This window comes from Homo sapiens, chromosome 1, assembly GCF_000001405.40.
Source record: "Homo sapiens chromosome 1, GRCh38.p14 Primary Assembly".
In the NCBI taxonomy this organism is placed as follows: Eukaryota; Metazoa; Chordata; class Mammalia; order Primates; family Hominidae; genus Homo; species Homo sapiens.
The window spans coordinates 35,433,492-35,460,620 of NC_000001.11; the positions used below are offsets into that span (position 1 = coordinate 35,433,492).

At 46.2% G+C, this 27,129-nt stretch overlaps 1 protein-coding gene across 18 annotated transcripts in view, besides 1 other annotated feature; it reads right to left on the reverse strand.

The window, feature by feature from the left end:
• The window catches only part of KIAA0319L (KIAA0319 like), a 124,170-nt gene continuing 97,041 nt past the window's right edge, over positions 1 to 27,129 (reverse strand). For 5 of the 18 annotated variants that reach the window (XM_017002369.3, XM_047430825.1, XM_017002366.2 and 2 more), the window contains 13 exons: positions 26,814 to 26,946; positions 22,522 to 22,750; positions 20,871 to 20,994; positions 20,066 to 20,198; positions 18,137 to 18,300; positions 16,867 to 17,018; positions 16,376 to 16,514; positions 14,682 to 14,841; positions 10,670 to 10,812; positions 9,415 to 9,537; positions 8,755 to 8,845; positions 7,556 to 7,647; positions 1 to 1,590 (listed from right to left, as the gene is read on the reverse strand). In XM_017002369.3, coding sequence (XP_016857858.1) covers positions 1,403 to 1,590; positions 7,556 to 7,647; positions 8,755 to 8,845; positions 9,415 to 9,537; positions 10,670 to 10,812; positions 14,682 to 14,841; positions 16,376 to 16,514; positions 16,867 to 17,018; positions 18,137 to 18,300; positions 20,066 to 20,198; positions 20,871 to 20,994; positions 22,522 to 22,750; positions 26,814 to 26,946 — 1,871 coding nt within the window. In that variant the 3' untranslated portion in view covers positions 1 to 1,402. Of the gene's footprint in view, positions 1,591 to 1,813; positions 2,107 to 7,555; positions 7,648 to 8,754; positions 8,846 to 9,414; positions 9,538 to 10,669; positions 13,743 to 14,681; positions 14,842 to 16,375; positions 16,515 to 16,866; positions 17,019 to 18,136; positions 18,301 to 20,065; positions 20,199 to 20,870; positions 20,995 to 22,521; positions 22,751 to 26,813; positions 26,947 to 27,129 lie in introns of those variants that run through there. The other 13 variants (XM_006710909.3, XM_047430826.1, NM_024874.5 and 10 more) reach the window with 9 other exon arrangements.
• Positions 17,609 to 17,788: a silencer, noted in NCBI's record as "fragment chr1:35916701-35916880 (GRCh37/hg19 assembly coordinates)". NCBI's record gives its function as "represses an EF-1alpha promoter that drives an FKBP-Casp9 reporter gene in an ReSE screen in HepG2 liver carcinoma cells {active_cell/tissue: HepG2}" and the evidence as "EXISTENCE:reporter gene assay evidence [ECO:0000049][PMID:32094911]".

The following is a 27,129-nucleotide window of genomic DNA, read 5'->3' on the forward strand; positions in this document are numbered from 1 at the left end:
CACAGTTAAATACCATGTTTAATCATCCCACAATGGACAGTAGTGCAGTAGTAGAAATTATAAGTGTCTCTTTAAAAAGTCACTCCCCCAAAGTTTCCATTCCCCAATACCCAGATAACCATGGTGGAACAGGGCCAGGGTGAGGGGGACTCAGGAAGTCTTGGTTCCAAGGAGATGAAAGTCTTTCCAAGTCAAATTTGCCTTGTGAGCAGCCAAGAGCCCAATGAGTTGATGCATACGCGCTCACTCTAACACGCACACATGCAAGGGACACAGAACACATACAGATGGAGGGACAGAGAGGGGACCACAGCGGGGCCATCGCACACATGCGCTCTCATGCCACAACATTCCAGTCCATCTGGGGCTATCTCCTCTGGGGACAGGGAGCGGTGGCCTAAGCCCCGAAGCAGCAGGTGCCGGTCAGATGGAGAGGAGGGAGGCCGTCTGTCCAGCCTGGCTGCTCTGACAAGGGCCCTGGCAGCGAGAGAGGCCACCCGCCATCCCTGACACAGTCAATCCTCCCTAATCTCGGGCCGGATGGGAGAAGGGAGTGGGGCTCCAGTGTTAAGGGGGGGCCAGATATCATTTCTTTTTTTTTTTTTTTTTTTTTGACGGAGTCTTGCTCTGTCACTCAGGCTGGAGTGCAGTGGCACGATCTTGGCTCACTGCAGCCTCCACCTCCCAGGTTTAAGCAATTCTCCTGCCTCAGCCTCCCGAGTAGCTGGGATTACAGGCATACGCCACCAAACCCGGCTAATTTTTTTTTTTATTTTTAGTAGAGATGGGGTTTCACCGTGTTAGCCAGGGTGGTCTTGATCTCCTGACCTCATGATCCGCCCGCCTCGGCCTCCCAAAGTGCTGGGATTACAGGCGTGAGCCACCGCGCCCGGCCATCATTTCTATGCTACCATCTCAGCATCTGTGGTGAGGGGAGGGGTGCCACTTCCTCTTTGCCCAGCGAGAGGGCGTACTCTACCCCAGAGAGGGAAACACCATGCCCACAGTGCTTGGTTTTGCACTCAGGTGTGCGGGCAGCACAGCAGGCCTCACCTTGCAGCACTCTGGGCACAATGACACTGTCCACTGGGGAGCTGCAGAGCTTAGCAGCTGGCTGGGTCTGCCCTCGGGGGAGGGGAGGAGTTTGCAAAAAAAGGAGGCCCTGAGGTGAGGATATCTGGGGGCCCACCAGACAGGTTTAAAGAGGAAACCTCTTCATTCACAGCTTCGTTGAGGGGTTCCTGGAGGACGTCTCTGGATTCAAGTCCCAGGGGTTCTGGTTGGGACTGTCAGGGCGAAATGACCAGCAGATGCTGGGACAGCAGCTGCCCGCAGACTCGGGAGGTAGGAGGACTGGCCGGGCAGTGTGCTGGGCCCTGCCCTGAGGAGACAGACCAGGTGGCTACAGGATCTCCTCCCGCGGGCTCCTGGCCTTCAGAGGGGTCTGCCCGTTGGGTACAGAGCCATTCTGACCATGCAGGAGTTTGCCCTTCTCTCGGTCTGGCCATGTAAAGATGGCATCATCGCTGTCCAGCTCTGACTCGGAGTGCATCAGGCTGCTACTTAGCAAAAGGCCTTTCTGTTTGATGCCTGCAGGGAAAACAAGGAATCCAGCATCAGGAGACTGGCCTCAAGGCTGGAGCCACCCCCACACCTTACCCCAGCCTGAGGAGCCAAGGAACAGGGCAAGTCACAGGCTCCTCTCCAGGCTGGGAGGTGCAGATGGGAAGGAAGCTTCCCTAGTCCTTCTCCCGGGCCCAACTGGTTGGAACAGTCCACTAAGGGGTGTCACAGAGTACGGATGAGAGCACACCTGGGGTCTCCTGCTGGTTCTTCATCTCCAGTATCCATGAGCTTTGGTTCAGGCCACTCAGTGACATTCTCTTTTCTTTACCTTTCAAATTTGGAATATTTTATCACCTCCCTCTATGGGTGGAATGACATGGTAGGCAGGAAAGCACAAAGAACTCAGGCTCTGGAGAATGAGCTTTTAGCTGCACCCTAGGTCAGCAAGGCCGCTGAGTGCTGGCACAGCAGGAGTGTGCAGTTTCAGTCCATGTAGACATTTGCTCTGTGGGCTCTTGTCTGCTGTGGCTTCACTGGATGCTAGGGTGGCAGAGTAGGTGCACACTTGGACAGGTCTCTCCTGCTGGGAGAGCCTGACTGAAATGGGGACTCTCAGAAGCAGTCCCAAGCAGCCAAATCACAGAACACACAAAGCAAGAACCGTATGAAGCACCTGGGGTCGAAGAAGACACCTGCGATTCTGCAAGCCATGGCAGTCCCTTCACTACTTATCCCTATAGATGCCGAGCGGCCACAGACATGAAATGTGGTCTGATAAGAAGAGTTCCAACAGCAAAGATGGCTGCCCTCTGGCTGGTGCAAAAACTCCAGAGAAAACAAACAGCAGGCTGAGATAGCAGGACTAGAGTGGGAGCTGCCAACAGGTGGCACCCCCTCAGCAGTGTTCTGGGTCCTGGGAATGCCCACGCCCAGGAGCTAACCTCCCTCCTTTCTAAAAAAGGTAACCAGTCAGGTGAGGGGTGGACATCTTAGGGAGAGGGGAGAGCCCTCTCCAGCACCACAATCTCATCATCCAATAATCATTCTCCCTTCTCCGGGGAGAAGGATCCAGATCTCCCTCACATACTGAAAGTGCCTTGAGAGGATTCCCAGCCATTCAGCCCTTCCTGGCCACACCTGACTTAAGGGTGGCAGTGCCCCGAGCTCTCCAGGCTGAGCGCATCCAGACCCTGATGCGCCTGCCATTCAGGACCACATGCGCCCAAGGACCTTGTCCATGTACAGCTGTGCCTGTGCCACATGCTCTGGGGCTTGGGCAGGGAGCTTCCTCACCCGCGTTGGTGTCAGGGTTACAGTTCTGGGTCTTGACTGAACCTCTCCTACTGAGTCTTCGGGCAGCGGAGCAGCAGGGCCACAGAAGAACACTGACCGCCAGGACATCTCCAGTGTGGTGGGGACAGTGGAAAGGGCCCTGGCAAGGGCCCAGGTCCTCCAAAGGCCCTGCCTCACCCCTTGAAATACCCACCTGTTCACAGCTGCCTCCTTCCCAAAGCCCCTCTGGCTATAGCAGTGAGGACAGGAGCCTAGGTTCAACCTAATATACTTCAATAGAAAGTTTTAGAAAAAAAATCAATAGAAAACAAAAACAACAACAAAAAACAACAGCAACAAGAGAAAACAAAGCCATAGCTGCTGAATGTAAAGGGGGCCTCCTGAGGGGGGCAGCCCTACACTTACCAGGTGGCACTGCTCTCCTTCCTCAGTTACTGTTCATCCTCAGCCTAAACTGGCTCCTGGCAAACTGTCCGTCCAGACTCCCGCGCACACACATCCTCTTTCCCCCCAACGGACCCACTCAGTTTACCCTTCTTCCAGCTAAACTTCTTCAGTTCCATACCTGACACCATATGGTCTTGAATCTCATTCTCCTCGTCCTCCTAGTGACTCTACTCTAGGCTGGACCTGCTAACCCACTGAGCCCAGAACAAGAACCAGTGCTTCCGGCCTGCTCAGACCCACACCGAACCTGAGCGGGCTCTCCCAGCTCCCTTCGGTAGACACTGCCCACAAGAGACCAGCCCTGCTGCCCTCACCTGGTCGCACGTTGTTGGTTTTGGTCACCTAGATGCCACTGGAACACCCCATGGCTCTCCCCTCTCCCTAAGATGTCCGATGTGCTGAGCTCAGGCTCCCATCCAATCTCACCTCTGCAGCGCGGCACTTCTCCGGGCCATCACCGCCCGTTTCTCCCCTCCTGCCTCAGAAGAGGCATCTGAACTCCATGCTCCCTTTCTCTCCTCTCTTCCCTTCTCCCTCCTTCCTCCTCAGTCAGGAAGCACCTCTCCAACGCACCACTCCTCTACCTGCATTCGACATTGCCACCCACAGATCTGTTCATGAGCCCTTCTCTGAGGAAGAGGAGGCCCTTGCCCTCTGCCTGCCATCCTGCTTCTCTAGCTTTCACTGCTCAGCTTCTAAAAGGATTTTTAAATATTCAGGGCCTTCATCTCCTCACTGCGCTTTCTAAATCACCTGCGCTTTCACTTCCACTGTCACTCCCCACTCTACTGCAGCTCTCTGATGGGCCAGGAGCTTCTCTGGTGCTATCAATTCTGATTCTTTGGCCTTTGCAGCAGCAAACACCGACGGCTGTCCCCTAATGAATCCCCTCCTCCCTCCTGGATGGTCATTCTTGGGGTCCTCAACCCTAGGCCTCTTCTTTTGTCCTTCAACATTCCCCCATAAGGGATGTGACCCTTTGTGGTGCTGATCCTCACCAGCAGATGGGAGATTCCTATTTCTACAGTTCCATGTCTGACTCTTCTGCTGAGTTCCATTTAATTCATCTTCTCTTACCCAGTCACTGCATCAGAGGTTCTGATTCTGTCAACAGCACTATCATTCTCCATCTCTCGGTTGGAAGTCAGCCCTGACCTTGCCAGACCTAGCTATAACCCACTGACACCACGCTGTGTGAATCACTGTCAGCTCCTCCTTGGACCAAAAATCTCCTTGCTGGTCTCCACACTTGTAGCCACTCCCCTTCAATTATTATATGTTGTCACCAGACTGATTTTCCTAAACCAGCTTATCCAAGACTTTGCTTCCCAGCATCACCAGGATAAATGTTTAACTCTGCAGGCTGATAGTCAAACTTTCACAATTTGGGCCTTGTCAATCTTTCATTCTCATTCCCTCAACTCCATTCATAACTGTCTTGCACCAAACACTTGATCTCCACCATTTCTTCTCCAGTCTCTCCCATCTCAGGGATACTACCACCACCCAACCCACAGAGGCTCAGTGCTGAAGCTGGGAGCCATCCTTCCTTTCTCCCTTCTCCCACACGCCTTGGCCAGCAGACCACTAACCTCATCAAGTCTTCCTCAAAAATGTATCTAGAATCTATCTGCCTCTCAACCCCAAGGACATTCTATCTAACTTCCTTTCAGCTAGCCTTTCCCCTCCAACCCCTGCATCTGTCAGCCACAGTTATCTTTTTTTTTTTTTTTTTTTTTTTTTTGAGACAGAGTCTGGCTTTATTGCCCAGGTTGGAGTGATCTCAGTTCACTGAAACCTTCACACCCCCAGGTTCTAGCAATTCTCCTGCCTTGGCCTCTCGAGTAGCTGGGATTACAGGCACCCACCACCACGCCCAGCTACACAGTTGTCTTTTTAAAATATAAACCAAGACCGGGTGCCATGGCTCACACCTATAATCCCAGCACTTTAGGAGACCAAGGCAGGCAGATCACTTAAGCCCAGGAGTTCAAGAACAGCCTAGGCAACATGATGAAACCCCGTCTCTACCAAAAATACAAAACAACAACAACAACAACAAAAAAACCTGGGGATGGTGGCGCATGCCTGTGGTCCCAGCTACTTAGGAAGCTGAGGTGGAAGGATCACCTGAGCCCAGGAGGTCAAGACTGCAGTGGGCCTTGATCGCACCACTGCACTCCTGCCTGGGTGATAAGAGTGAGACTCTGTCTCAAATAATAATAAATGTAAACCAAATCCCACCATTCATCCCCTTAAAAAGCTATCAGTGGCTCCCCATTGTACTCAAGAGAAGTCCTCAGCAGGGACCCTGCTCATCCATTGAGCCTTGGGTCACTCACCCCTTACTCTGTGGGAAGGTGAACCTGTCCATCATGTCACCTTCTTCTACCTCCTCAAATGCTCTCTGCTCCTTCTAGCAGCTGGGTCTGCACCAGTTTTGTTCCTTTGCCTGGAATGCTATTTCCTGCAGCTTTATCTGGCTAGCTCCCACTTATCCAGGTCTCAGCTTAAGTGTTTTTCTTCATAAAGGCCTTTTATGAGCATATTTTATGTATTTGTGAGTTTGCTTAATGTCTGTCTGACATAAGCTACACAAGAGTGAAGTCTGTCCGTTTGATTCACCACAATATAAGCAGTGTCTGGCACAGGGCCTGGCACATAGTGGTCCCGCTCCATATCCACAGATGAATGAGACAGCCCCTGCCCTCAGGGATTTCACTGATGGGTGGGGAGACAGGCAAACATAACTAATCATGAGACAGCGAGAGAAATGCCGACCCAGGCATGTGAGAGAAAGGTGAGCACAACTTGAGGAGGTTAAGGGAGGGATAAGAAAGAGCTTTCTAGGGCTGGGTATGGTGGTGCATGCCTGTAGTCCCAGCTGCTTTGGGAGGCTGAAGCAGGAGGACCACTTGAGCTCAGGAGCTGGAGGTTGCAGTGAGCTATGACTATACCACTGCACTCCAGCCTGGGTGACAGAGCAAGACCTTGTCGCCACATTTTTAAAAAAGAAAGAGATTACTGGATGAACCAGAAGAACTTGTTTAGAAAAGAGGGAGATCAGCAAAGAGAAAGATTCCAGAAAAGCAAACTGATGTAAGCTCACAAAGGCCACATCTACCAGACCAAAAGTTCTAGCTTTTTGTGCTAGAAATAGTAAGTCATTGAAGAATGTCAGGGGGTGAAAAACATGATCAGAGTAACATGATAAAAACCTTGGCTGCAGTGTGAGGGGTGGGTTTTGCACATTTCACCTCCAGGCCCTCATTCTCAATATTCCTGGGTGAAATGCCCCGCCCGCCCTCACTGCTCTGGTTTCCTGGGCTCATTTCAAGCCCCACCACCTCCAGTCTCCACCTTGACAGTGTTGGTGGATCGAGCTGCTTGGTGCAGAGTCCAGACTGCTGTGAGCCTGTTCTCTTCTGCTACTGTGTGTCTTTTCTCCCTCACTAGACTGAGAGCACAGCCTGTGTCTGATGACTCCCTATACCCCCATAGCCTCTCCCTAACACAAAGCTTTAAGCATGAAAAGTGTTTAATAAATGCTTTATATAAAAATAGTTCTACTTGCAGAGTGTTTAGGAATCGCTTTATAGAGTCTAGCTCTCATAAACCAATGATACCTGTCCCATGGCATCCATGATGAGTGAAACCCTCGCCAGGTGACCCAGCCCAGCGGAGGAAGGAAGGCCTACTACCTGCCCTGATCTCCCAGTGCCATCACTCAAAGTCATCTTACTGTTTGTGCAAGGAAATGCCCTCCTATCTGCCCTAAGACACTGACAGAAGCTGAGGACTTGCCAAATGATAAAGATAGGAAGACAGGAGAACAAGGCTGGCTGAAAGGTGGTCAGCTGGCAGACACGGGCCTGGGTCTCATCTCTGCCCATAAAGCACAGACTGGTCAGCAGTAAGAGACAAGTCCAAGGTCCCTGACCCTGACTACCTGGGGCAGTTGGAAAAGCGGAACTCCAGGTGGGAAACATGAGGAGAATGCCCAGGCAAAGGAAAACAACAGGCCCAGCACCCCCGCCAAGCGGAAGTAGCACGCGAAGTGGGTCCTGGAGGCATTTTGTCCAGTGCAGCTCAGGGCAAATCTGACCCTCAGTCTTCATCAGGCAAAAGGGAACAAAATGCTTTGCAAGCACAGTGGGCTGTTAGTGACACACTCAGGAGGGGCTAGTGACAGCAGCCTTCCACAGAGAGAGTGCACAGACCTAGAAGCTCTGGCACCCAGGGCCCCTACCTGCTCGGGAGGTTGGCTTCAGCTCCAGGCTTTCCTGATCCGTGGCATCCAGGATCTTGTACTTGCTTTTCCTCTTGGGTTTTCCTTTTTGCCTAAAAAACACAACCCCCACCCCTGCTCAGGAAAGAGGTTCTCTGGGAGGATGAGGATGAGAGCCAGATGTGCATGCAGGGCCCTATTTTGGTGGGGCACCTACTGAGAGGGGTGTCCTCTCCTCACTTCTCAGCCAGGAAAGGTGGCAACTGTGATTTGTTCCTCAAATGTTCCTCAGCAATTCTGGAGAAGGGCAAGGGAGCTATGACCACCTTGGCACGGACTCACCATCCCACAGGGGCAATGAAGGACAGATTGGTTAAAAACGTAAAGAAAACAAAATCCTCTGCTTGAAGGGTGTGGGAGGAGACAGGCATTACACTAACAAAGTTGGTAATGGTGGTTGTCTTAGACTGGTGGGAATTTTTAAAAATTCCTTTAGTTCTAAGTTTTATAAGAGGTTATACTGAAAGTTGAATCTCAGCTCTGTCACTATCAACTGGTCCTCAGACAGTGATGTACCTTTCCTGAGCCTAAGTTTTTTTATCTGTAAAATGGGAAAAGGTTATGTGTCTTAAAAATGATATTACCTATAAAAATATTATGGCACACAGTATACACAGAAATAATATTATTAATAATGAAAACATAAAATAAATGTAACCATTCCATCTTAGAAGACTCAATAGGAAGACTCAAATGAAAAAACACAGGACGCCTGAGCCTGGCTAGCCTAAAGTGCATGTGTGGAAACATGCACACTCATGAATCCCAACTAGAAAGAAGGCAGAATTAAAAACTCGCGGGCTATGCTGGTGAGGCTACAGTGTGGTGCATTAAAGAAAACACACCTTACAGATGTGATCCGGGTCTGTACCCCTGGCCCTCACGCTCACTCCCCCACCTTGCCCTGCTCCCGCCCAGCCATGTTTCCCAGGTTCCAAATCACTGCAGTGGCTGCCACTCACTGAAGGAGTGTGCCTCTGCCCTCAGGAGAGTCTCAGGGTGAGCAAAGCTGCCCGTGCATGCCTTAGGTGGGTCAGAACTCTCTAATGCTGACTAAGGACCCAGCCCAGTCCTTCCACGTGGAAGGTGCCAAATACCTCTCTGAGGAACGAATGTATGACAAGAAGCCCGAATGAATTTCAAAGGAAAATCCATCTTACCTCTTACAACAACAGATCACAGTCCAAGACAGGATTCCCAAGGCAACAACAATGACAAAGGTAGCAATGATAACATATAACACGCTCCACTCTGCCAAGAAAATCAAAATGGTGAGGGCTGTGGAGGGAGAGGCTGGGAGGGAGGTCTGGGCTGCTCCCAGCTTGGGCAGGTGTGGCTTCACTCTGGAGACAAGAATGCCTCAGGCTCCCCAGGAAGGTAAGACCTTGGAGTTAAGGGCAGCTGAAGCTTTAAACCTTTTGAAATGTCCCTGCTTTCCAGTCCCTGCTCCTGGCAAGCCCTGAGACCCTGCAGCAGTGGTGCAGGCTGAAAAGAGCTTTAAGAGGGAAACGAGGGCTTCCATTAGGCTACAGCACGGAGGCACTCCAAAAGACAGGAGGCTTTTCAGCTGGTGGGATTTAGGCTGTAACTGGCATTGGATCTGAGTTAAGCCTGGTTCTTCTTACACGACTGCTTCAGGGCTTTCCTCTAACCTTGAGCAAGTGTGGAGGAAGGAAGTAAAAGTCCTCTGCAAACAGAAAATACACAAAGTTCTTCTCCTTGCCTGCTCATCTGCTTCAGAAACACCAACACCCACCCACTCAGTGCAGAACCACATTCAGCGCCAAACAGGCTGGCACTGTGCCACATAGAAAACTCACCACAGTTGCTGTCTCCATCCCTCAGCTGCACCTTGATGAAATTCTCCATCCAAAAAGGGTCACAGATACAGCGTTTGGTGAACGAGTCACAGTGGCCATGGTCGGAACAGTTCAGCTGACATGCTGAGAGTGGCAGCAAAGGGAAGAAAGTCAACAAGACTCAGCCAGGGGTGACAAGCAGCACCTAGAGCCCATGAGGGCACCAAAGCACCCCAGATTAATGCTATGTGGTGAAATGTCCTCGAGACCCACCTTGGGCATGGTGCCTGCCTTTCTCATCTCGACTGGACAAAACTGGAGCAGTCAGGAGGCCACTAGAAAGACACTTCCAGCCTGTCTTCACTTGTTGTTTGTCTATATCAGCAATTCTTAATCTTTTATGTCCCACACATCCCCTTCTCACAATTGGAAAAATAAAATACCTATAGTACTTCAAAGGAAGGCAATAATTATATTAAACGTTTTTGAAATATTTAAGAAGACAGGCTGGGCATGGTAGCTCACACCTATAATCCCAGCACTTTGGGAGGCCGAGGCAGGCAGATCACTTGAAGTCAGGAGTTCAAGACCAGCCTGGATAACATGACGAAACCCCATCTCTACTAAAAATATAAAAATCAGCTGGGCGTGGTGGTGCATGCCTGTAATCCCAGCTATTTGGGAGGCTGAGGCAGGAGAATCACTTGAACCCGGGGGGGCGGAGGTTGCAGTGAGCTGAGATTACACCACTGCACTGCAGCCTGGGCAACAGAGCAAGACTCTATCTCAAAATAAATAAATAAATAAATAAATAAATAAATAAGCATTAAACAACAAGAGCTAGAAGTGGGTTTAACAACTATCATAATTTTGAAGTAGTGATAAGTAAAAATGACATCATGTAATGTGATAGGAAATTATTTGTGATTTCTATTGCCTCAAAGCCACAGGTTCTGTTGATACTACTGTAGTTTGTTGCCTACATTGATCATTGAAGTAAACAGTGAGTTTCAGTCAGAGGTTAGTGAAAACAAAGATGTAAATTTTTCCCCACTCAAGCTCACAGCCTTCTGAACACGATCTCAGGGGCCCATGGGCCCCAAGTTAAGAATCCCCAGTGATGAATCAGGACTCTTTCATGGTAATAGTAGTGCAAGAGAATGATTATCTCCATCTTCCCAGAGAAAAGAAGATGAAGGCCAAGGACAGAAAGGACCAATGGGTGAGCTGCAGGCACTAGGTAGGCTCTTGCTCCCAAATTCCCAGAATTACTCACTGACAGTGTTGACTTCCAAGGCTCTGAATATCAAAAAGTCTGCCTTTTGCTTCCGCAGCTCACTCTTGAGCATCGCTGCCACCTCATGGCCTTTGAAGATCTGGTGGGGAGGCTCGTTTTGAACAAAAAATACCATTTTGGTGCTGCAGAGACATGCAACAGTACTAATGAGCTGAAGCGGTCCATACCTGCAGCAACAGCTAACATTTACTAAGTACCTTCTGTTTGTGACAGACACTGTGCTAAGTGTTACATGCATTCTGTTACTACAAGCCAGTGAGAAAGGTGTTATCAGGGTCATCTCCATTTTACAGAGAACAACACTGGGGCTTTGTAAGAGGGGTTAAGTAACTTGCCCAAGGTCACACAGTTGATTATGGCAGAGCCAGATCCCAACCCTGTTATGTCTGACTACAAAGTCTGTTCTTTTTAAAATGCCCTAAGCTGCCCCAGCTAACAAAAGAACCCATTCCTCCAGCAAGAAGACCCATACTCTCCATCTAACTGGAGGATGAGACAAATGGGGATTTGGTATGGCTACATTCCTGCTGTCCACCTTTTTCCAGCTAAGACTGCTGGGTTTGTGACTAGTTTACTTGAAAGACAAACCACAATGCTTTGTTAATGTAAATTGTTGGACAGCATCACAACATAGCCAAAACAATTATGATGACAACAAAAAGATCTTACACTGTAGTATGGCTGCTATGAACTTATATTACTCCATGCCCAGAATCTGTTTGCTGATTGTCAATTCCTGTCCAAGATAGGCCACATGTGAACTCACATCTGGGTAGTACCAAGTCTGTTCTATGCCTTAGCCTTAATTTTTAGTAGCCTGCCCCTTGAGCTCCATGTGAGTTTTACAATTAGAACCTTCTAAATCAGTGAGTCACACTGGTTTACAGGTGTGACCAAGATATTGATCCCCTCATCATGCAGTGTGGCTGGGTGGGACCTGGGCATCCTAGAGGCCCTGGACCAGTTGCTTCCAATACAAGCAGCCTTCTCTGTTTATCCCAAGGTGCCCTATAAATGGTATCATTTTCCAGGCATGCATGACATAAAATCTGAGAAGTACTGCCACAGACTTTCTAAAAGCTTGCTGCACAGTGGGATTAACAATGGGGCATTATCAATTCCAGAAACAAACAAACAAAAAAAAACTTTTGCCATAAAGGATGTGTGGTCCGTTGCCCATTATCTTCTCCCAGTTACCTAATTCATGCTTACAGTTTCAATTTCGGTCTATATATCAATAACCCTCAGATCTTTATCTCCTTTCCCCACATCTCTCCTGAGTGACCAGTCTATATCTGCAAATACTTGTGTGAATATCTACCCCAGAGCTTCAACAGATACCTCAAATCCAACAAGTCTCAAAATCAACTCATAACCATTAATTGCACACTATGTGTGAGGGACTATACAAACATTAACTTATTTAATCCTCATAACAATCCTATAAATAGGTACTAGTATTTTCACAGATAGTAAAACAGGTTCAGAGAGGTGAAGTAACTTTCCCACAGAGCTAACACTAGTAGGGCAGGGCTCAGAAGCTGGGTCTAATATAAGGGCCATGTTCTTTCCTACTGTAAAATACTATTTTCTTCCAATCACATGTTCTTCCTGAATTCCTTAACTAAGTCAATCCAGTACAAGCCAGAAGCTCAGGGAAACCCAGAAGCTTCTCTCTTGCTCATGCCCCCTATGCAGTGCTGGTGAATCTGAGCAACCTGTCAACAGTGCTCTTACCAGCACTCTTGCTAACATCTTTCCACTGCTTGCCAGCCAATTCCCGCCAGCTTGGATCAATCAAGCAGCCATTTGCCCTGTTCCTACTCCCAGGCTGCTGAGTATACTTATCCCTAATCGTGCTATCTCTGACCTAGTGAGCCCTGACTGTAGATTAAATTCACCTGGGGAGCTTTTCCATTCTAGGTACCCAGACCCCACTCCAGACCAACTGAACTATAATCTCTGGGGCTAAGGCTTGGGCAGTGTTATGTTCAGACAACCTCCGCAAGATTCTATTGTGTGGCTGGAGTTGGGAACCACTGCTCTCACCTCATGTTTCCAACTTGGCTGGTCCCCCAGATCTGCCTCCATTTATTACCCATCCCCTATCTCCACCATCTCCTTTTCCTCTCAGTCTATACAAATGCTCACAAACTTCCTATTTTAAAAAGATGTTCATGTTCCACAAGGACCACAATGAAAAAAAATTTTTAAAGATATTCTTTCAATCCTACCTCCCATATTATTTTCAGCACCAACTTCCTCAAAAAGGTGTTATACTGACCATCTCTGTATCCTCAAACCATGAAATCTGTCCTCTGCCTCCAACATCTAAGTAAAATGCTCTCACTATAGTTGCACTGATCTACTAATCACAAACCCATAGGCCTACTTTGTGTTCTCACCACACCTCCATCCCTGTAGCATCTGAATCCTTTGGAAGCACCCCTTTTGCCAGATCACCCCTTAACTTCCAGCAGACTACTCTCATTTGGTTTTCCTCCCACCTGATTGCTGTTTCTTAGTTTCTTTTGCTACCTCTTCTTTCTCTGCCTCCTCCTTAAATAATGATGCCCTTCAGAGTTGTGTCCTTATCCATCTTAGCTCTCTCCTAGTGAGACTCACCCGTTCTCATGGCTTTGGCTCCTGCCTGTATGCAGTAACTCCTATCTCGGGCTCTTCCTTCCACAAGTTCCAGCCTTTACTTGTGGCTATCTGACGGAACATCTCCTGACGCAGCCAGTAAGACACCCCAAATTCAATCATCCATACTGGTTTCGCCTGCCTTCCCAATCTCAGTTAATGACCTGAACCATCTATCCAGACATCCAAACCAAAAGCCTCACATTTGCTATCTCACTCACCTTCATTCGTAAAGGGCCAGGTACTACTGAATTACCACTGAATTTCTTTTAATTTCTTCTCCTCTTCTTCCACTATCTTAATTCAGGTTTTATTACCTTTTCACTGGACTAGTCCAGAAGCTTCCTGAATGGTCTCCCAGCCTTTGGTCTCTCCCTATTTTAGACTAGCTTCCACACTACTGATCTTTCTTTAAAAAAAAAAAAAAAAAAATCAAATTATGGAAATTCCTTGCTTTTAAAAACAAAACAAAAACTTCACACACATAAAACAAACCAACTTGGATCTGCCTACCCAAACTATTAAAACTAAGATCCTCAGCTTGCATATAACTGTTCTCAATCTCCACTGCCAGTCTTGTCTTCTACCACATCCTGGGGCCACTAAGCTTGAACCAAGTGACTTCTTCTGGAAGAAACTGTGTACTTTCATACCACAGGGCCATTGCTCAATGCTGTTGCCCTGTTCTGAATTTCCTCCCCATCCTCCCATGCCTGGTCAATATAAGTTTCCTTTTCCCCTTTTTTTTTCTTTTTTTTTTTTTTCTTGAGACAGTCTCACTCTGTCTTCCAGGCTGGAGTGCAGTGGTGTGATCAGAGCTCACTGCAGCCTCAAACCCCTGGGCTCAAGTAATTCTCCTGCCTCAGCTTCCCAAATAGCTTGGACTACAGGCGAACCACACTGCACCTGGCTAATTTTTAAATCTTCTGTAGAGGTGGGGTCTTGTTATGTTGCCCAGGTTGAAGTTTTCTTTATTCTAGAAAAATCTTTGGATTACTCCTACCCCAACTCTCCTAGAAGAATTCATTGTCCTTGCCACAGTGTTCCACAATGCCGCTTGTTGTACCAAACCCACACCGTACTAATGTTCCATATTTACTTATCTCCTCTACTAGACTGTGGTTGTCAAAATAGTTGACCTCCTACACCCTGGAGCCCTGCTGAAGTGTCTAGTACAGCGCATGTCACCTGCACTAGAAGACAGAAGTCTATTGAAGAAAAGGCAACATGAGTGTTTCTGGTCAGAAAGCCCACCTTTCTCTATCTAACCACACTATTTCTCAGCTCATTCAAGAAGCCCGGGGGCCCCTGGTCTTTCCTTTGCTCCCCCCATTCATTGCCCAGCTACCTCTGCTCCGTGTACGGCTGAATCTTTTGCACAATGATGTCGGAATCCAGCACCCCCAGGAGGACCCCAATCTGGCGGATGAACATCCCCTTCAGCCTCTCAGTTAGCTGACTGACGTTGATATCCAAGATGATCTCCACCAGGTTGTTTTTCCTGGGATCTGGAAAGCATGTGGATCAGTCATGGCTTTAGAAGTAGGAGAGTAAACACAGACCTGCCACTGTGCATTTGCTTTGGCACAGGAGAGAAAGGAGTGAGAACATTCAGATATCCTTCAAATGGAAAGGGACAATAGTGAATTCCTGATCGGGCAATCTGGGGCTGGCTTAGAAAGCTTCTAAAGCACTCCTGCTCTCTATACCAACCTGAGAATTCCCACACATGTGCTGGGGATAAGGCTGAAGCAGTGATGCAATGAGGGGTGGGGAGTAATGACGGGAGTGGGGAAGAGAGAAACACTTAAACATTTGTTTTAAAAGCCTCTGTGCAACTGGCAGTGCTGAGCAATCCAGGCCAAGTGGGGGTTATTAAGCAATCTCTCCTGACTCACATCTGATTTTCAGTGCCTCGCTGTATTTTGTGCACAACAATGGGAGGAAAAGTGTCCATCTCAACAACCTCCTCAATAATGGGAATGCATCCGTCCCTCCAGGTTTAAATACAGTTAACAAAAGAAAATCCAGTCAGCCAAGACACAAGGATTTCCTTAGAGCCACATCACAGCTGCACTATCTTTGTATAACTCTAAAACGGTGAGGCTATCATGTTTTACTTTTGAATATGTCCTAAAGATGTTCTACATTTGGAATTTCAAACTGATTGTTTGGAATGCCTTATTTACATACTTGAATGCACCACTTGCCTGTTCTGATGTATAATTTGCATAATTAGTAGACTATCTGTGATCTGACTTTAAACACCAAAGAGATTTTATAGTGTCTCAGCTACTGTCCTTCCTAGAGGCAGGACAAGGACTGGAAGACCTCCCAAGATCCCTTCCTGTCCAAAACATCCATATATGAGGTTGGCCTAGATAATAAAGAGTAGGTTTAAAGTTAATACCATTTCATCAGAAGCTCAGGAATTTATACAGCTCTATCCCACCTCCATACTCAGTGCCTCCCTATCACCATATTAATCTCAAAGCAAAATAAAAACATGGTTCTATTTAAGAAGAAAATTTTTATTTCTGCAAAGCTGAAAAATGTAAAGAGCACTATTACTTTACCTTCCCTGGATTATCAGACAAGGCCTGAGGCTCAACTTATAAAAATAAATTGTTTTCTGCATCTGGATGCTGATGAGACATCATGACTCAAGCTATTCCCATGCTCAGATTCCCAAGCACTCTGAGCCCTCTCTCATCAGTCACGAGGAGAGGAGAAAGTGCTGGACTACGAGCACAAAGGCCTGGCTCTGACACAACTGCTGTGTGACACTGAGCAAGTCCTGCCCTCTCTGAGTTTGTTTCTCCATCTGAGATGAATAGGGGGAGGTCTGTATTTCTGCATGGGTAGGAGGTATTATTGGAACAGACGGTCTCTATGGATTTTTCAGCTTGGGGTTTCTCGATTATTTTTAAAGCTGGACATGCCATCTGGCTCTGTCCATGCTCGGGGAAGGGGATCTCAGGATAGAGGCCTTGATTGGCTGATTCAGCAATTCTACTCAGCCTCATCACTAAATGAACTCACCAGGTTTCACCTCCACAGTGGTCCGGTCTGTGTCACTCTCACCCTTTGCATCGGTCACTTTCAGGTGAAAAGTGTAGGTTCCCTCAACCAGGTTTGAAAGAAAAAGGATAGGGTGATGGTCAGAGTGATTTAACACCTCCTGTAGGGTTGAACAACATGGCTATGTTACAGAACAAAATGCCATTCCTTTCCTGGAGTCAGTTGCTGCTTTCACCATAACTAGGCCCTTCAGGGCTGAACTGTTTCAACCTTGGGCAGTTCCTGATACGGAACAGCATTGCAGCCTACAACTGCTAGGATCAGGGAAGGGAAACCCATTCTGTGCTATACTAGCTTACAGAATGACCCTAAGCAAGTCACTTCACCTCCCTGGATTTCAGAGAACAATCTGGGTTTGATATAAGGGACCACTTGATTAAAGCATATACTGGAACGCGTGGCTCCTCCTCCTCCCCACTCCTGTGTAGCTCTCCAGCTCCTAGCACACTTACCCCTGCTGCTGGGCTCCCCTCATCTCGAGTCCAGAGGTAGCTGACTATTCCCTTGTCATCTGAGGACTTAGAGCCATCCAGCTCTGCTGTGCTCGTGGGTAGGGTAATCACCACATTCCCAGTTATCTTGGCTATAGGTGGTTTGTTTATTTCTAATCAAAAAGAAATCATTGACATAATGTGACATTCTGGAAAAGAAGAAATGTTTCTTCATGATGCTTATGGGGAAATTAAAACATCAAGAGTACCTTAACTGGAGAACCTTTTTAAGTGCCTGTCCCTGCCACCAACCAACAGTGTAGATGAAAGCTACCAGCGCTGCAGTCCTGAGGTTCCAGTCCTACCCAGAGAAATGTTCTCCTAACACTGTACAACAGAGGGGACGAGTGTGCTTTCCTCTCATATTCTCCCAGCAGCCTTCCCAAATGGAATCCATTTCTCTGCTTTGGAGGTATGTGATGATCAGAAATAACGGCCCAAACTGGCTTAAAACCTTGGAGTTTAGGTTTCACCTAGCTGATCTTGCAAATTCTCCTTCAAAATATCTTAAAATGTTATTCTCTGAATATCTTTTTGGACCCCTTCCTTGGAACTTCACAAGAGAAAACAAAGAGCTACCTCTCTTATTCGGAGCCCCACGTGAAGCTCTGTATATTCAGATGTCTGTGCAGTATTTACTCAGCTTGGTATCTTATGTCTGGAGGTCTGCATATCTGATGGTTTTTCCTGCTATCAACTTAAGGCCCTCAACTTAAGGCCCTCTCCCACAGCTCTCACTGGTCACTGTGCCTGTAAACTAGAGCAAGGCCTCTGGCTGGCCTCAGCTCAAAGGCTCAGGGCAAGCATAGTCAGCTGTAGTGCGGCCGTCATTCTCAAGCCTGACAGCAGGTGTCACTGTAGCTAACAGGAGTCACGGCCCAGGTCTCAGCAATGCAGAGGGGCAAAATAAAAATGCAAAGAATAGAACCCTTAATTCTTTCCCTATTCAACTGAGAAATAAAGTAAGGAGGGAAGGAGGGAGGACTGAAAAGAAAGTAAGGGGATGAGAGGGAAGGGAAGATGTAAGCAGGAGGAGGGAGGGAAGTTAAAATTCACCTTACAGTCCAATTAAAGGCTGTTTTAGAAAAGAAAATAACAATTGCCCTCACCCCAACCCTCTTACCCACCTCTTGCTATCTCTAATCAATTTCTGCAGGCAAACATGACAGGATAAATTCTTCAGCTATCTGACCCTAAGAGGCTGCTACACAAACTGGAGGCAGAGAGGTACCTTCTTTGACAATGACATTCACAGAGCTCTGGCTTTGCAGGTTCCTCTCATCTTTGACAGTCAAGGTGAACACATAGGTCCCCACTTGCAGCCCAGTCACAGTAGCAACACTGCTGTTAGCATTCTCGAGCTGCACCCCATCAGGTCCCCTGCAAAAAAAGAAACTAGAGGGTAGAGTTGTACCTGTCTGCTGCTGTCCTGTCCCTAACTTAGCAGGAGGAGACAATGACTCCCTCAGCAAAGACACGAACTACTGTTACCCAGACCTTGACAAGACATGTTTAAAAATATTTCAATTGGACAAAGTGTCATTTGGCCTCAAAATACAGGCTGCCTGCTGGTCAGAAAATTCAAATAGCTTTCAAACACCTCTAGCCTTATCCTTTATATGAGCTTCTAGAACACTTGAACGCTTTACCATTCTAGTTTGTAAAAGGAAGAAAGTTCTCTGAGCAAGTCTCTGATCAAAAGAATGATTTAAGAGTGATGTTTCTAAAAAGCATTTCTGGCCCAGTAGTTGGTTTGGCTCTTGCCAGCAAGGAAGCAAAATGCATTTCTTAATCACGTGCCCAAATCCTTCCTGATGAAAGAAAAGGAAATGGGGCAAGACTGCAGAGGAACTCTCAGGACAAAATCATCTTGTTTGTAGCAACTCTATAAGCAAAGTTCCCTCCAGCTCCTGGACAGGGGCCATCAAGCACCTAGGACACCCTACAACCCTTCTTCCCCCTTGTGGCCTCAGAGACTTGCCTGCAGCAGCCAAGGGAGCTCTGTGCCAACATTCAGGCTGCACACAGCCAGAGAGCCCTCTGCTCAAGGATCAAAATGCCCCAGAGCTTTTAACTACAGGAAAGCCAGAGAAATCTGCAGACATCCAGGATTTACTTTGTTTTGCCTTTTAAAGTTACAGCCTCTGATCCTGGTAGCTCCTCCTGAAGCACAGTCTCCTTCAAGAAGCTATGCTAAGCATTATCTCTGCTGTAAACACTAATAAAACTCAGCTAAAAGGTCTATCAGCCATATCTTCAATAAACAATTATAATTAAAAACACCCTGGGCTGGGTAAGATTATGTTCTACAAAAGATAAAAACAAGAGCTGAGGGAAATAATTTCTAGATTCCAACTCAGCAATCTCAAAAGCAAGTCATTTGTATAGTCAAATTAAAGTTCTTTTCCACCCATCTCCAATGCCTTTGTCAAACAAACAAACAAACAAACAAACAAACAAACACAATACAAAAAAAAACCCAGGCTGTCCTATGGTTGCTACCTTTGGAAACAGAGAATACTTTTAACTCTTCTTAGAATTCTTTTGCTACTTGTGGGATCCTGCATATAATTTCAGTTGCATTAGTTATGCTTTAAAGGAGCTAAAAGAAACTACAGGAACTAAGAATGGTTCAGTTAGGTAATTTCTATGTAATTAGAATTATTTTGATTACCGCCTTTGGCCTCTGGCTAACTTAATTGGTAAATGGTGTCTTCAAGAAAACAATAACAGAGTAATGCTTTCATTTTATGGATGTATTTTCAATTTCTCTTAATAGCTGCTCTGCCCCATCCCCCGTGCCAGCCTTACCCAGTTAATTCTGAGCAACAGTATTTTTCTGCTCCATTACCCCTTCCATCCTGCCTCTCAAGTGTAATTAAACTCTGCATTTCAGCAGATGGATTGTACCTGAAAAAGCACCAGGATCACACAGTACTACCTGGGGACTAGTTGATGGCAAGCATTCTTTTTTTCTTACAAAAATTATGATTATAATATCATTTTCTTGGAGTTGAAGTTTGGAATTGCAAACATTTCTTCCTCAGTCACCCCACTGGATAAGCCAATAAGAGCAACTCAACTCATAATAGCAAATAAAACCTTGCTCTTCCAAGGTCTGGAGGCTTTGCAAAAATAAGGATTTTGTGTCAATACTCACTGTGTTTTTTCCCAGAGATATGAGATAATTTTCTGATCATCTGAGCTCTTGCTGCCATCCAGGGTTGTGCTATCCACAGGAAGGGTCAGCTCTTTATCTGGGCCTGCATCTGCCTGAGGAGGCTTATTGTTTTCTGGAAGACAAAGAGTTAGAGGTCAAAAGCAGCCAGTCCAGGTGGGAAAGGAGAGGAACCAATTGGGACACATGTTCTGGAAGCCATGGACTCTGCCTCTCAGGCCACAGAACTGTCAGATACTGTGGGAGATGTGGTTACCGTCAGGGAGCACACAATAAAGAATATAAGGCTGAAACATATCAAGCAATTCTGACAGAAACATAGAACATAATGAAGTTATAATGCCATACTAAACTTGAACTCTAATGCTAAGGGAGTTCAAATGAAAGGATTTGAGTGACAAGACAGGGCTGTCCTGAGGAAGTCAGTTTTAAGCAGGCCCTTCAAGGACGTGGTATTGGGTTGGTGCAAAAGTAATTGCTATTGAAAGGAATGGCAAAAACCGCAATTACTTTTTAGGATTTGGGATGGCATAAACTCTATTTCCTAGGTCTCTTTGAAGGTACCAACAACAAGCCAAGGGAAGGGCACAAGCTGAGGCTGGGAAGTATCCTTCATCTCTAGCTATGAAGAAAGCACAAGGGGAAGGAACAATAGAAGTCACCAGAGGCTCTATGGATCGGTGCCTTCTGCTTCTACCCTCATACAGCTCAGAACCCAACACTCTTTTCCCCCAAGGTTAAATGGACCCACCAATAGAAGAGCCTGAACCACAAGGCTGGAGCTTACCAGGTTGCACAATAACAGTCACTTGAGCAGTGGCCTGCTGTCCTATTGTGTCAGTCACTGTGAGCTGGTAAGTGTAGTCTCCTTCTTGCATCGCAGAGAGCTGTAAGGTTGGTGTTCTAACACCCTACAAATACAAATACAGAAGTGGAAAAGTGGACTCCAGGAATCACATCACACAATAATTCCGACTCTGGTAAAAACGATTTAGTTTTCTAAACCAAAGACCTAAGATGGTACTGGGCTATTACGTACCAGTTCAGCATGTGAGTGAATATGGAGTCAGATATCATGAGGCACCTTGCTAAGGGTTTCCCCCTTCAAGGAAACAACCCTCTCTGACACAGCAGCAGTTTCAAATAAAGCCAGAACTCTCATAAGAGAGGGCAGTATTGGGAAATGTGCAGAGATTACCAAGGCCAGTCTCTATGACTCAAACCAGAAAGAATACCGTGAACAAACAATAAATGACCCAGTTTTAAAAACACTGTTTAAAAAGATCCTCTTCCTACTGAAGCTACACAGTGCTCCTAACAAAGCTGTCTCAGTGAAACATGGCAGCAGCTCAAGATGCTGTATAACACCATACTGTCTCCTTCAGGTCTGTACAGGTTCTGCAACAACCTAACATAACATTTAAACAAAAGTCAGGTAAAATGGAGGCTTTAAGGGAGGCCTTAAAACTGAGAAATATAGAATCTTGAGGGACATTATAAATAATTTTGGGCAAACTTCCAATGCAGGAACTTCCTGTAGAGCAGTAGGCAAAAACTAGTAGCCCATGGGCTGAATCCAGCTTGCAAATATTTTTTTTGGCCTGTGGTGTCTCTCATATTGGAAATTTTCACATAAAGGTCTCAATTTCTTTCTTCTCTTGAAAAGCTGGGTTATCAAGCAATGTTAGGACCATCCTTCCATGTGGCAACAACCAGCTGGACCTGAAGAGTAGATGACTCCTTTAGTCAGGGCTTAAGTTCAGCACAGCCACCATCCAGTTTTCTTTCTTTATGTTACCTGCCTGGTGACAGATCTAGTCTCTCTTCTTAAGCATCTCTAGAGAGAAGATACTCACCATCTAGCCAATCTACTCTAACTTGTTATAGAGCTCACTAAGATTTGCACCCTTGTAGCTTCTAAATAGTTTGACTCTCTGGAGTCATCCAGAACAACTAACATTTCTCAGCCTTTTCCTCTAATACTAAACATTTAAGATAATTTTTTTTTTTTTTTTTTTTTTTTTGAGATGGAGTCTTGCTCTGTCACCCAGGCTGGAGTGCAATGGCGTGATCTCGGCTCACTGCAACCTCCGCCTCCTAGGTTCAAGGGATTCTCCTGCCTCAGCCTCCCAAGTAGCTGGGATTACAGGCGCACGCCACTACGCCCGGCTAATTTTTTTATCTTTAGTAGAGACGGGGTTTCACAATGTTGGCCAGGCTGGTCTCGAACTCCTGACCTCATGATCCGCCCGCCTCAGCTTCCCAAAGTGCTGGGATTACAGGCGTGAGCCACCATACCCGGCCAAGATAAAGATTTTTGCTACCACGTTAATCAAAGGCCCCTAAAGCTTTCTCAGTTTGTTTGGAGGTTTCTAAAAATGCAGTCCAGCAGCTCTACTTCTCTTGGGCAAGAAAAAATAGGAACCATTCCCTCCTACCTGCATCTCCACCACTTTCCCTTTGCTGCTTGGGCTGAGTGACCACTCATAGCTGGTGATGCCATGATCATCAGTGCTCTGGTTCCCAAAGAGGGTGATGGAGTTTTGGGGCAGGGTGATCACTTGGTTGGGGCCTGCGTTGGCCACAGGGGGGTAATCCACAGCTTTGTTCACTGTCAGGTTTGCAGTAGTAGAGTTGGTAGCTCCATCAGAGTCTACTACAGTCAAGCTATCAGGGCAGAGAGAGGAGTGTGATCAGGGACGGGTTTAAGGAAAGAGGAATAAACACTAGAAGACTGAAAATTAAGGCTAAGAAATACCAATGTGGCAAGGTTACCTATTCTTACCCACTTCTATTGGAGAAGCAGAAAGTACTACTAGAAGCTAACACTGACTGAAGTTTTATGATGTGCTAGGCACTGCTCCAAGTTCTTTATATCTCATTAAATCCTCACAACAATTCTATAAAGTATCATCCTCATTTTACTCCTCACATATATGAGGAGAAAGACAGAGAGGCCAGGTGCGTTGGCACACACCTGTAATCCCAGCACTTTGGGAGGCCAAGGCGTGCGGATCACCTGAGGTTGGAAGTTTGAGACCAGCCTGGCCAACATGGTGAAACCCCATCTCTACTAAAAATACAAAAATTAGCCAGGCATGGTGGTGCAGGCCTATAATCCAGCTACTTGGGAGGCTGAGGCAAGAGAATTTCTTGAACCCGGGAGGCGGACGTTGCAGTGAGCTGTGATTGCACCACTGCACTCCAGCCTGGGAGACAGAGGGAAACTTCATTTAAAAAAAAAAAGAAAAAGGAAGGAAGGAAGGAAGGAGAGATGGAGGGAAGGAGGAAGGGAGGGAAGGAAGGAGGGAGGGAGGGAGGGAGGGAAAGAAGGAAGGAATGAAGGAAGGAAGGAAGGAAGGAAGGAAGGAAGGAAGGAAGGAAGGAAGCAAGCTTGCCCAAGGTCATACAGCTTGAAAGCAGTGGAGTCAGGTTCTGATCCAGGCAATATGTCTCCAGCGCCATTTTGTCCTGCTGCTGCCTGCACGCATCTGTGTCCTGAGGTCTCTATAAGAATTGTCTGATATGGCCCTCATAACAACCATATAGAGTAGGCATCATTGATTCCAGTTTTATAAGAGGCTTAGAGAGGCTAAGTAACCCACCCAAGGGCTATATAGTGAGCCAAGATGCAAGCATAGTTCTCTGATTCCAAAGCTCAGAAACCAAATCTTAAGAAGAGGTAATTCTTAGTCCCTATTCCCGATTCCCTACGCTATGTAGTGCAAGCTCCGTCTGCAGCAGGCTGTTTTCCCATCATCCTGTTCCAGCTGTTTACACATCACAACGATGGACATCCTAGGCAGACAGCCTGCGGGACGAACCAGGAGGGCTGGCTCCAGTAAGGCAGGAGCTTGAGATGAAAATGAATTCTCCTACGCAACAGTCCCACAATTTGTGCCAGTGAGACACAGGATTTGCAAAAAAAAAAAAAAAGAAAGAAAGAAAATAAAAAAAAATGTTCATTTATAAGAGCAGGCTTTTACCTAAATGATGCCTTCCAGCTGAACAGCCTAAAGCTTCTCATGCCACCTCAAAATGTGAGCATAAGCAAGCAAGGAGGTTTGGGATCTTTCCATTTTGCTGACAGAAAGAGGAAAAGCATAGAAAAGACATGTAGTTTGTTTAAATCTCACCACCAGCCACAGACAGGGCCAGACGTCAGTGAGGTTTTATCCTGCAGTCTCACCTTTTACCTATGGTGTGAAGGGGATTTTTGGTATTACAGCCTTTAGGAAAAAAGCACAAAAACCTCAGACACACAAACATGTACCAATCAGCAGATATCTGAAAAACAAAAATTTACAGAAGTTTTGCCTCTTTTCCTAGTTTCTCTGTTGTTTTCACAGGTTTGGGTTTTTTTGTTTTGTTTTTTTTCTGAGACGGAGTCTCGCTCTGTCGCCCAGGCTGGAGTGCAGTGGTGCGATCTCGGCTCACTGCAAGCTCCGCCTACTGGGTTCACGCCATTCTCCTGCCTCAGCCTCCTGAGTAGCTGGGACTACAGCTACCTGCCACCATGCTCAGCTAATTTTTTTGTATTTTTAGTAGAGACGGGGTTTCACCTTGTTAGCCAGGCTGGTCTCGATCTCCTGACCTCATGATCCACCCGCCTCAGCCTCCCAAAGTGATGGGATTACAGGCATGAGCCACTGCGCCCAGCCTGTTTTTTGTTTTTAACATATGCCATTTGTCTCCTATGTCAGGACAAAAGCACCTTATAGACAGACGGCAAAATGGCAGCTGCCCATTTTCTCTTTCACCTCAAACAGTCCCTGGCTTGCCTGCAAAGATCCTGAAACCAAACAGCAGCTGACTATAGGGCTGAGGAAAAAGGCTACTGCCATGTAAAAGAGAGAGGAAAAGGTGAGTGAATTACAACCTTAATGCTAATCAAATCAAATCATATCATTTCATAGATTTTTTTTAAAATGAAGGTTAGGAAAAAAAAATCACTCTCATACCCCATCCACTAAAAAACCTGTAGGTTAACCTTGTGGTTAAAAGCTTAGACTCTAGAGTTAGACTGTGTGACCTTGGGCAAGTTACTTAAACTCTTTGTGCCAAAATTTCCTAATCTGTAAAATGAGGATAACCATAATACCTGTTATAAGAATTAAATGCAATACTGCCAGCAAAGAGCTCAGAATAGTATTTAGCACATAGTAAATGTTCAAGAAATATCAGCTATCATTGTTACTATGTTTTAAAAGGATCAACCTGGCCCAAGCTGAATTCTGTAAATAGAAAAATTCCGACATTAGAAATCTAAGGTGAAAACCAGCTCAAATGTCCATTTTAAGCGACGTAGAAGGCTCCAATCTTGTTGTACTGGCAGCTACTTTTCATTCACCTGAAGTGTTGAATCAATGGAAATCCTGCTAAGTCAGAAGTTGCATATTGATTTATATGGTAGGTATTGTGCTAGGATACTCATTTCTGTGTCTCTGGCACCATCTAAAATTTGGTTAATCTCAGATTCATGGGAAGACAGATAGACATGGATAAACTGTCACACTATGGTAAATGCCACATAGAGGCCCTGAGTGCAATAGGGAAAGAGGAGAGCCATATTCTCTCCTGTCTGGAGGGATCTCAGAGAACCTCATGGAAATTGAGGAGGTTCTTAAGGATGGGCAAAACTTGAACAGATTGAGAAGGGAATTAAAGGAAGTATGAACAAAATACATGGATCAAGTCAAGGAGTGAAGTGGAATGAACCCTGACTTCAGGATTAGAAAATCTGCATTTAGGGCCAGGCACGGTGGCTCACACCTGTAATCCCAGAACTTTGGGAGGCTGAGGCGGGTGGATCACAAGGTCAGGAGATCAAGACCATCCTGGCTAACACGGTCTCTACTAAAAATACAAAAAAATTAGCCGGGCGTGGTGGTGGGTGCCTGTAGTCCCAGCTACTCGGGAGGCTGAGGCAGGAGAACGGCATGAATCCGGGAGGCAGAGCTTGCAGTGAGCCGAAATCACGCCACTGCACCCCAGCCTGGGCGACAGAGCAAGACTCTGTCTCAAAAAAAAAAAAAGAAAATGTGCATTTAAGTTCCAGCTGTGAGACTTCAGAGAAGCCTCATTTTTCTTAGCTGTCAAATGAAGATAGTATCATCTATATATCATGTTTGTATGATACTCATATATTAATACAAGTGCTTTTTAACATACAAGGAATTACGCAAACATAAGGAGGATTACTCTAGAGTCAGCTTCAAAGCTTTAGTAATCACTCTAGAATATCAATACTAGCTCCCCAAATGTACTTTCTTTGAATCAAATTCCCCAAAAGCCCCAGCAGAGAATGAAAACCACTAGTCAAACATAAAGATTATGAGGTACGTAAGCTGAGGAAGCATTTTCCAAAGGGAAGAAAAAAATGAGAGTAGGTCTTTCAGATTTTGCCTGAGAAGAGGCAAAGGAAGATGGGCCTTTTCATTTAACAACAGAAATCCTAAAAAAAATTTTTGGAGACCTGCCAGATAAGGCTTGAGAAAGATTAACTGTGGCAGATCCTGATCTACTATACAAGAACCTTTGCCCTAAAAAGTTACCATTGTTGTAATCACAATCACCATAGGGCTCAGAGAACCAATGGAACCAAAAGCTGTATTATCAACCAACTCCACAGTGAATTTGATATTTGTCAAAGTTACTCATATAACAATGTAAAACCCACGAGAGGCAAAAAAATGGCCTATGGTAAACTTGAAGCTGAATCCTAATTTACCTGAAAGTGTAGTTCCCAGGGACGAGTTTACTTAGTTTTAATATGGCTGTATCTTCAGAAATCTTCTCTTCTCTTAGAGGCCCCTTAAGTTCTTCCCAATGGTACTGAACGATTTTATCATCATCAGTGCTTTCTTGACCATAAAGAAACATCAGTTACAACATGAGAACGCTTGGTCTTAGCACTTATCCAGTTTACACAAACCAGGACAACTACCCAGAGATTTGAAGCTAGGAAAACTTCATGAAATTACAGACTATCTCTCCAGAATGTTTCTTCCCTAGGAATACTGGGTCATTCTGCCTCTCTATGTATA